This window comes from Homo sapiens, chromosome 8 (assembly GCF_000001405.40).
Source record: "Homo sapiens chromosome 8, GRCh38.p14 Primary Assembly".
Lineage (NCBI taxonomy): Eukaryota > Metazoa > Chordata > Mammalia > Primates > Hominidae > Homo > Homo sapiens.
The window spans coordinates 50926110-50936757 of record NC_000008.11 but is presented as its reverse complement, the minus strand read 5'-3'; the positions used below and the strand labels follow the sequence as shown (position 1 = coordinate 50936757).

Genomic DNA, 10648 nt, shown 5'->3' with positions numbered 1-10648 from the left:
CTCAATTTTTATTGTGTCTCTGCCAGATTTTGGTATCAGAATGATACTGCCTTTGTAGAATGAATAGGGAGAAGCCTCTCCTCCTGGAGTTTTTGGAAAAGTCTCAGTAGAATTGCTATCAGTTCTTCTTTTACATCTGATAGAATTAGACTGTGAATGCATTTGCTCCATGGATTTATTTGATTGGTAAGTTTTTCATTACTGATTCAATTTCCAAACTTGTTATTGATTTGCTCAGGTTTTCACTTTCTTACTTATTCAATCTTGAGAGGTTGTGTGTTTCCAGGAATTTATCCATTTACTCTAGATTTTCTAATTTGTGTGCATAGAGGTGTTCATAATAGTCTCTGAGGATTTTTTGTATTTCTGTGGGAGCAGTTGTAAAGTCGCTTTTGTCATTTCTGATTGTTCTTACTTGGATCTTCTCATTTTTTTGTCATTAATCTAGCTTATGTCCTATATCTTGTTTATTCATTCAAAGAACCATCTCTCAGTTTCATTATCTTTTGTATGGACTTTGAGTCTCAATTTCATTCAGTTCTTCTCTGATTTCAGTTATTTCCTTTTTTCTACTAGTTTTTCGGTTAGATTATTCTTTTGTTCTATTTTCTCTAGTTGCGATGTTAGCTTGTTAATTGGAGATCTTTCTAACCTCTTGATGAATGTGTTTAGCACTATAAGTTTTCCTCTTAAAACTTCTTGGCTGTATCCCATAGGTTTTGGTAAGTTGTGTCTCTATTTTTTAATAATTTCAAAGAATTTTTTGATTTTTGCCATAATTTCCTTGTTCACTCAAGAGTTATTTAGAAACAAGTTGGTTGATTTTCATGTTTTTGTGCAGTTTTGAGAGATCTTTCTATGGATTACTATTTTTATTGCACTGTGGTCTGAGAGTGGGCTTGGTATGATTTTCTTTTTCTTTTAAGTTTATTGAGACTTGCTTTTTGGCCAACTCTGTGGTCTATATTAGAATATGTTCCATGTGCAGATGAGAAGAATATATATTATGTGGTTGTTCAGTAAAGTACTCTGTAGATGTCTGTTAGGTACAATTGGCCAATTGTTGAGTTTAAGTCCAAGATTTATTTGTTAGTTTTCTGCTTCAATCTCAATCTCACCAATTCCTTTTTTCAGCTATGTTTAGTGTATTGATGAACATCAAAGGAATTCTTCGTTTCATAAAGACAGGTTTTCTTTATTTCTAGCATCTTTAATTCATATTGAAATTGCTATCTTGCTGCTTACATTACCCATCTGTACTTGCAAGTTATCTACTTTTTTTTCATTAGGCCCTAATCATTGAGATCATAGTAGTTTTAAATCTGCACTTTTATAATTCCAGCTTCTCTGCCATATTTGATTCTGGTTCTGAGGCTTGCTCTGTCTCTTCAACTTGTAGGGTTTCTTTGCTCTTTAGTATCTCTTGAAAGATAATGTTCTGAGGAATTGGGACTAACAGGTCTTTAATATAAAATTTTATGTCTATATGGCTAAAAATTAAGCTGTGTTTAATATTTTCTGCAGCTGTAGGTATCAGAGGTTAAAATTCATTCTGGTTTTCTTGTTTTGCTCTCTTCTGTCGTCCTTGGGTTTTCTTAGAGCCTTCTTCTTAAATAACGTCTGAAGTGTATTGTTCTTTCAGTTGTATTTCCTTGTTATTATACCAAAATCCTATTGATATAGTGATAAGAAATGTCAGGGGTGGTAGGTGGAATACTGTTCTATAGATCTACAATAGTTCTCAGAATTTTAGTGAGCCTGTGCCCTTAGGATGTGACTTTCCCAATTGCCTTTTTGGTTAAACAGGAAGATTAGATGGAATGAAATTGGGTATTTTCCTTCTCGCCACCTGGAAAACTAAAATCAACTAGGGTGGGGCATTTCTTTTCTCTATGTCACTGAGGCTCTTGAAAGGTAACTTCCCTTGAGAGAGGACCTTACTCGTTGAAAAGAACAAAAGGTATTAGCCTTATTTCCAGTTGGCTGCTTTTCCCCTCTTGCTGCCAGAAGCAGGAGGAGATTTTTCTCTGAGCTTCAATTGAGAAACTGCTGGGGCTCGCTGAGGTAAAACTCATAACAAACTAGGCCTCTTAGAGCTTTTATCTTTCAAACTTGACTACAGTGAACCTCTAGCAATTTGTCTAATATAGTTTAAGATTTTCTACTTTAACATGCTTACAGAGAGGTTTCTGCACTTGGACTTCTGTTCTAATATGCTGTAATCTTCTTTGTTTGCCTGTGCTTTATAATGGAGATAAAACAAAGATGTTAATTGTAAACTAATACTATTTGGCAGTTTGAGGAAGAGGCATCTGAACAGATGCCTGAAGAACATGAACAAACCGGTCATATGAAGATGTAGGATCAGAATGTTCAGGAAAAAGAAAAAGCAAGTGAAAACTTTTACAGTCAGAATGAGCTTGGCTTATTTGGAGAATAGGCGATGAAATAAACAGAGACTTGCAACAAATAGGAGAGCAGCAATTGAAGAACCGTGGTTACACTGCAAAGGATATCAATGCTCACAGCATCTCAGGTAAAGACTAAGATAACAACAAAAGAAATATTACAAAAATGCACTTACTTGTCAATCACTGAAGAATTAGAAATATTCACTTAAAATGTGGTCTATAGCTTTTCTTTTTAAAAAACTGGTAAGTTTGGCAACACTAAATAACATATCTTCATGTACTTTTCTGTTTTTCAGAGCGCTAGTCTACCCTGCCACCCTTATGGATAATATATTTCTGGACTTTGTAAGTACATTACTTAAACATTTTATAATCTCATAATTTCATAGTACTTTCTCTCAAGATATTGGTATATGTCCTAAATAAAAAAATTAATCATAAAAATATTTAAGATTTAAAATTCATATTCACTTAAGTTTGGAAAATGATGTTTAAAAATTTAGACTAAAAAGGTTTATTTGATTCTGTTTTTGTTTTAAAAATCAACTTTTTTGAATTATACTTTAAGTATACTTTAAGATACAGTACCTCCAGTTTTAGTGTATAGGTCAGTAAGTTTAATAAATATATAGACCTAAGCATTCCACCATAAATATTAAACCATTTCTATCCCATATACAGTTTAATTATGCTTCTTTTGACTATATTCTCCCTTCATGTGAAAAGTTCCTGGAAGTCACTGATCACCTATCTGCAATTACAAACTTGTCTTTACTAAAGTTTTGTATAAACACAATAGTAAAGTGTATTATTTTTATGTTGGTTATTTTTTCTTATATAATGTTTTTGAGATTTAATCAATGTACTGTGGTTATCATAGTTTATTTCTTTTTATTTCTGAGTAGTGTTACAGTCTGCAGATTTATTACATTTGGTCATTTATTATCCCCTTGATAGATATGTGAGTTGTTTTTAACATTTTGCTTTATAAAAATAGACAAAATAAAATACATGTACGAATTTTGTATGGACATACTTTTTGTAATTATTATTTCTCAGTAAGCACCAAAGAATAAAATTTGTCTAATATATAAAATGATACACATTTATATAATATATAAAATGATATATAAATATGTATGTGTTTGTGTGAAGTATCTGTTCTTTTAATATTTTAAGTATTATTCATGCTATCCAAAAAATGCTTGCCTTATACAAGTTTTCAAGCATTTTTCTCTGTACCTTTTCTTTCTAAAAATTCTATAACTTTTATTTAAAGTTAAGTATAGTATATTTTTAAAGCTTGGCTTTTGGATATGGTGCCAGGTAAATGTTACAGATCTTTTTCTTACTAAATAGATATTCAGTTGTTCCAGGACAATCTGTGAAAACAAATTCTTTTCATAATTCCCCTGGCACTTTTATCAAAAAGGTGTTTAACCACATCCGCAATTATTATTGCTGGATTTTCTGTTTGGTCCCATTGAACAGTGTACTTACTCCCACACCAAACTGTCTTGACAGTTGTAGCTTTATAGTAAGTCTTGAAATAAAATAGTGTATGTCCTCCAAAATTTCTGTGCTCTTTCAAAATTATTCAAATTCTCTATGTCTTGCATATTTATATAAATTTACACTCAGAATGTTAATTTCTACAAAAAGTACTTTCTGGAATTCTTACTGGAATTACATGGAATCTATAGACCAATTTAGGGAAAACTTATACGTTGACAATAGTGAATTTCCAATCTCAATATGTAATATCTACCCATTTATATAGGTAATTTTAAGTTTCTTTCAGAAGTGCTTTTTAAGATTTAAATTGAACATTTTTCTACTTACTTCATTAAATTCAAGTTTTCATATTTTAGACTTCTATTACAAATGATACTTTTAAAATTTCAGTTTCTAATTTTTGTTGCTATTTTATAGAAATATAATTATTTTCTGCATAATAACCTCATATGTTAGGACTTTTCTCATTTATTAGTTCTAGAACCATTTTTTGTGTAATTTCTAGTATATCCTAGATACATAATACTATCTATAAATAAAGATCTATTTAGGTTTTTTTGGGGGGGGAATGACTTTTATTTCTTTTAATGTCTCATTGCATTGGCTATGCCATCCAGCACAATTGCTAAATAAAAAGAATAATGTCCTTTGTCTTGATACCCATTGTATTAGTCCATTCTCACATTCCTATGAGCAAAAAAAACTGAGACTGGGTAATTTATAAACACAAGAGGTTTAATTGGCTCACAGCTCTGCAGGCTTTACAGGAAGCAAGAAGCATGATGCTGGCATCTGCTAGCTTCTGGGGAGGCCTCAGGAAACTTATAAGCATGGTGGAAGGCTAAGGAAGAACAGACACTTCACATGGCTGGAGCAGGAGCAAGAAAATGGGTGGCAGGTGCTGCACACTTAAACAACCAGGTAGCCCAAGAACTCACTCATAATCATGAGAAAAGTACAAAGGGGATGTTGCTAAACCCTTCATGAGAAATATACCTTATGATCAATCGCCTCCATGATCAATCACCTCCCACCAGGCCCCACCTCCAACCATGGGGATTAGAATTCCACATGAGATTTGGTTCAGGACACAGATCCAAATCATATCACCCAATTTAGCACTGTTTTACCATTAAGTATCATGTTTATTGTAGATTTTCCTTAGATGTTCTCTATCAGATTGAGAAAGTTCTCTTCTATTTTTTGTTGGCAGAGTTTGACCATGAATTGGTGTTGAAGTTTTGCCAAATGACTTGCATGCATTTCCTGTAATTATTATTCACTTAAAAAAATTTGTTAACATAGTAAATTACATTCAGAAATCTTGAACATTAAACCCGACTTCCATTTGCAAAGTGAACCCCAAAGGGTCATAGTGTTTTACCCTTTTAATATATCACTGGATTCAAGTCGTTAAAATTCGGTTAAGGATTTTTATTTTATATTCATACGGAATATTTTGAATTGGAGGAATAATCTGTTGTTTTTATTATTTAAAATTATATTCTTTTCTTAATCTTTAAGTTTTTATAGGATCTCTTTATTTTTTGCTTAATTCCTTATATTAGTAATTATTTGTGCAGTCTACCTAGAAGCACATACATTTTATTTCTTAAAAATACACACATGCAAATACATACAGCGTTTGGTATAATTGTGGGATTCTTTTATATTTTTGTAATTTTTTTACCGATTTTTGCTGTTTTTTTAATACTTGCTTTAATTATATTTCTTTAAAAAATATAGACTTTGAGGTGGAAACTTAGGATCGTTGGTTTTTGACCTTTACTCTTTTTGGATATAAACATTTAAATTTCCCTATAGTCATTGTTTTACTACATCATATAATTTGATATCTTGTAATTTTTATTTCTGTTTAGTTCAAAATATTTTCAAATTTTGTTTGTGATTTCTTCTTTTATCCATGTATTATATAACAACAAAAACATATTATTAAATTTTTAAATATTTGGTGGTTTTCCAAATATCTGTTGGTTAATGCTTTGTAATTTATTACCTTTGTTTTAAGAGAATGTACCAAGTACAATTTCAGTTATTTGTTTCTATTTAAAAATGTTTTATGGCTCAGTGTATAGTCTATCTTGGTAAATGCACTGTGTGGATAGACATGTGTATATTGTTGCTTGATTGAGTGTTAAATAGAAAACTTAATTAGGACAAGTTTCTTATGATTTTCCTGTGTAGTTGTTCTACCAATTAATGAGAAAGGAATGTTAAAATCTCCAACTATGTTTGTGAATGCGTCTGACTCATTCAATTTTTTTTTCTTCATGCATTTTGAAGATGCAAGCAAATGCATTTAGATTTTTATAAATTCTTGATTATAGCTTTTTGAAATGATTTTCTTTTTCTAGCTACCTTTAAGGTTTTTTATCTCTATAGCTATTTTGAACAATTTGATTATACTGTGGCTTTCTGTGGTTTTATTTGTTTAAGTTTGTACAGGTTGGTTAATAATTCTGGCTCTCTGAGCCTCTGGTTTTCATAGATTTGGAATATTTTCAGCCATTCTCTTTTCAAACATTTGTTATGGATGTTTCCTCACCTGAACTCTATTATACTTCCTGAAAATCCAGTTACACATATGTTAGCCTTTGTACATTTCCACAATCCACTGGGGCTCTGTTCATTCTTTTTTTTTTTCAGTGATTTTTTTTCTTCACTGTGATTTAGGTCAACTTGTTTTTATTGTTACCTCTTGTCATTCACTGAATTTTTATTTTTGCCCCGTCTATTGCATTGCTAAGACTCACCTAATTAACTTAAACTCAGATACTATTTTTAATCTCTAGAAGTACCTCTTTGCTTTATTATATCATCCATTTTCTCTTCTTGATATTTCTATTTTTTTTTTCTGAATCTTTGAGCACTGGGCACATTAGTAACAGATTCGTGAAAGTCCTCTGCTAAGTCGACCCTTTTCGTAATTTATTTGTTCCTATGACCATTTTTTTTGGTCAGAGTTTTGAGTCACATTTTCTCCTTTTGAATGTCTAGCAGTTTTGATTAAATGCTAGAAATCATCCTTGTTACATAATTGTGCAAATTTTGGTTTCATCCTTTAAAAAGTGTTGGGTTTTTAGTACTGAGGTGTCAAATTACTTTCAAGTCAACTTGATCCATTCAAGGCTGTTTTAAGCTTTGTTAGAGTTGGTATGAGTTAGTGTATATTGTAGTGATAGTTGGCCCTGCCATTTATATATGACACATTTGGGTTTTCCACTGAATACCTTGGGTGATTAATCAGCACTCTCCATCCTAGCTTTTTATAGCTTGAACCTCTTCCCACCTTGTGAGAACTCTGAGAATTTTTAAATTTTTGTCTCTTTTGTCATTCTTAATCATCCTCATATTATTTTGTTCTATACATCTCAGGCATTTCAGAGGAAATAACATCCAAACATATTTAATCATCTTCATCACTACTAATGCAGTACAAATCACAAACATTCCTGGTTGTATTATTGGAAAAGCCTCTAGTCTACCTCTCATAGACTGTTTTCTCTACTCAGCAGCCAGAATATTCCTTTTAAGTCAGAAATTATATTCATAACACTTCTGCATTATCATGCTGGGGATGCTATAACAGAATGTTATAAACTGGGAAGCTCAAAAAATAAACATTTTAAAAAATAATTCTAGAGGGTGAGAAGTCCATGATCAAGGTGGCAGCAGATTTTGTTCCCAATGAGGGCTCTCAGCTTGCAGACAGCCACTTTCATGCTGTGTCCCCACATGGCAGAGAAGGAGTGATATGTTTCTCTCTTTCTTTTCTCATGAAGATACTAATTCTACTGTAAGAACCCCAGCCTTGGCCAGGCGCGGTGGCTCACACCTGTAATCCCTGCACTTTGGGAGGCTGAGGCAGGTGGATCATGAGATCAAGAGATCGAGCCCATCCTGACCAACATGGTGAAACCCCGTCTCTATGAAAAACACAAAAATTAGCTGGGCATGGTGGTGTGCGCCTGTAGTCCCAGCTACTCGGGAGGCTGAAGCAGAAGAATTGCTTGAACCCGGGAGGCGGAGGTGGCAGTGAGCCGAGATCGTGCCACCTCACTTCAGCCTGGGGACAGAGTGAGACTCCATCTTAAAAAAAAAAAAAGAAAGAAAGAAAGAAAAGAAAAAAGAAAAACTCACTCTTGTGATCTCATCTAATTCTGATTACCTCCCAAAGGCCCCATCTCCTAATTGCATCATATTGGGAGTTAGAGATTTGACATAAGAGCTAGGGGGTTGTTGGGGGCTTGGGGGGAACAATTCAGTCCATAGCAATTTTTTACACATAACTTCTCCAACTCCAAAGGCTCCCATTTAGTTTTAAGTAATAAATACACTTCTAATTGTATCTCATTATCTTTCCTTTTTCATTGTTCTCCCTACTTCAGACACTCAATTTACTGCTGCTCTTTAAATAAATCAAACACATTCTTGTCTCATTTCCTTCTATCTACTGTTACCTAAAAGTCTGTTTTCCCAAGATATTCTCATGTATAACACCATCACTTTTTTCAAGTCTTTCTCACTTTATCATAGCCATAACTAACCTGTTTATTTATCATTTATAACAGCCCAGACTACCTAATGGACACTGCCTGTTTTGCTTATCTTATTTTTTTAAGCATTTCTCACCTTCTAATATACATTTTAACCTGTTTACTGTCATTCCTATCAACTACGACATAGGTTCCTTGAGGGTGGGTCCCCTTTCCTCTTTTAATCACTGTTGCCTCCCCAGCTTCTAGAATAGCTCCTGGGATATAGAAATGATTCAGAAACATTTAATTTATAGATGAATAAAGAATTTTATAGAGGATATTCTAGGCAAAGGAATCATAATGTCAAAGATTTAAAAACAGAAATAAACTTGATGTGGTGGAAGTTCTAGGAAACGAGGTATTCTACAGTGTCGTGGGACAGGGGAGAGTGGTATGAATGACACTCATGAATTGGTAATTTAAGAATTTTGAAATCAAGATAAGAACTTTGGGTTACATTAATATATATTTCAGAAAAAGTTTTAGACTGGTGTCAAATATTTGAATCATTGTTTTCATGATTTTTGTATTTTGTGTTGTGATTTTGTAATTAGTTCCTTCCTTTAAAAAGTTTTGGGTTTTTATTACCAAGGAGTTAAACTTTTTTGAGGTTAGCTTGATCTTTTCAAGGCTAGCTTGTAAGCTTTATTAGAGTTGGAGGTGATCAAGATTATTGGCCATAGAGATATTACAAATATAATGATTAAGTATGAAGAGGAGATTAAAATTGCAACAGTCAATAACTCTCAAATTTAAGTTTCTGTTTTTTCACATATTTTTTTCTTGAATGTTCTTCTGTATTTCTACTCAGATTTCTGTAAGTGAAGCACATATATTTCTTAATAAGATTTTCCCCATATTAATTATATTTATAAATATCCAAAAGCTTGGAAAGATTGCTTTGGCCTATTTGAGAAATATTTACTGTACATAGAAACTACTGGCAAGTTTAAAGAGGCAACCATCATTTTCTCAGAATCATCTTTATTCCTTCTGTATTTCGCCTTCCTCTTTCTGAGATATGTTAGATCATTACTTATTACATACCATGTTTGCTAAATATTGACATAATATTATACTGATATGTTATTGAGCAGCACTGCAAATTACAGATAAACATGAGAAAATCAATGTTAATATTGGCAAATGTTGGTGGAATCATTAATAAATTTGGAGATTTTAGTGTAAGTTAGGTTTATATAACATAATGGGCTTTTCCTTTAATTTATAACATGTAAATTTGTGCACATGTAGCATCCATTGTATTTATCATTATAATATTTGGTGGTTATGTCTCATAGATTGTATTTCATTCTTTCAGGGTTAAATTTATGTTCCTAGAAATTTCTTTATGATATTTTAATTTTATTCTTTTTACTATTTGTTTTTGTAGCAGGAATCGAGTCAGTACCCAGAACTACAGGACTGTCAAATGCTTCTGAAGAGTCTCCTTTACTTCATCCTTCAGTTGCAATACATCATTTTTGTTCTTTTGCTTCTGTTATTTTAACATAGTCTACAGATATTTTCAAGAGCAGTCTAATCTATTTTTTTAATTGAACTTTATATTGACAAAAAAAGGTATCTCAAATTCAAAAACGATGATGTACAATGGCTTCTGTCTTTGGTTTTATAATGCTTTCATCATCATTAGAACATTCAAAATGTAACATCGCTTGCAGTATTTTATTCAATTTTTTTGTTTTTTTCCCCAAACAAAGTATGAAAGTTATAATTCAAAATAAGGCTTATATGGACAATGAATAAAAAAATCAAGATGTACCCCATAAATTAGTTTGGATTATTTTAGTAAGTATGATAATAAAATGATAAAATTTTTTCTTAACCAAAGTAGTCAAGATAAAAGAGTTTCATAAAACCACTGTCTATAATAAAATAACATCAGTACATAAAATATAAAATTTGTACAATAAGAAGATAACATTGTGAACAATTTAGGCTAATAAGTTTTAAAATTTGGATTAAACGTACAAATTTGTAACAAATATCACTAATAAAAGAGGGTGTAATAATCAATTTTAAAAGATGCAACGTCCAAAATCTATTAAACTAATTCAGCATCGTTAAATCATTCCAACAGCAAAACAACAAAAATGTCATGCCCAGATGACTTTATTGGTAAATCATTTAAATATTTAAAAA

The 10648-nt window shown here is 31.9% G+C and overlaps 1 long non-coding RNA gene across 2 annotated transcripts; it reads left to right on the top strand.

The window, feature by feature from the left end:
* Positions 1–1977: 1977 nt before the first annotated feature.
* LOC105375830 (uncharacterized) lies at positions 1978–10266 on the top strand. Of its 2 annotated transcripts, none has more exons than XR_928865.2 (4): positions 1978–2064; positions 2297–2536; positions 2708–2756; positions 9882–10266. It is a non-coding gene; the product is annotated as an uncharacterized LOC105375830 (long non-coding RNA). The 2 variants fall into 2 exon arrangements; XR_928864.2 differs by having other exon boundaries at positions 9879–10266.
* The last annotated feature ends 382 nt before the right edge of the window (positions 10267–10648 follow it).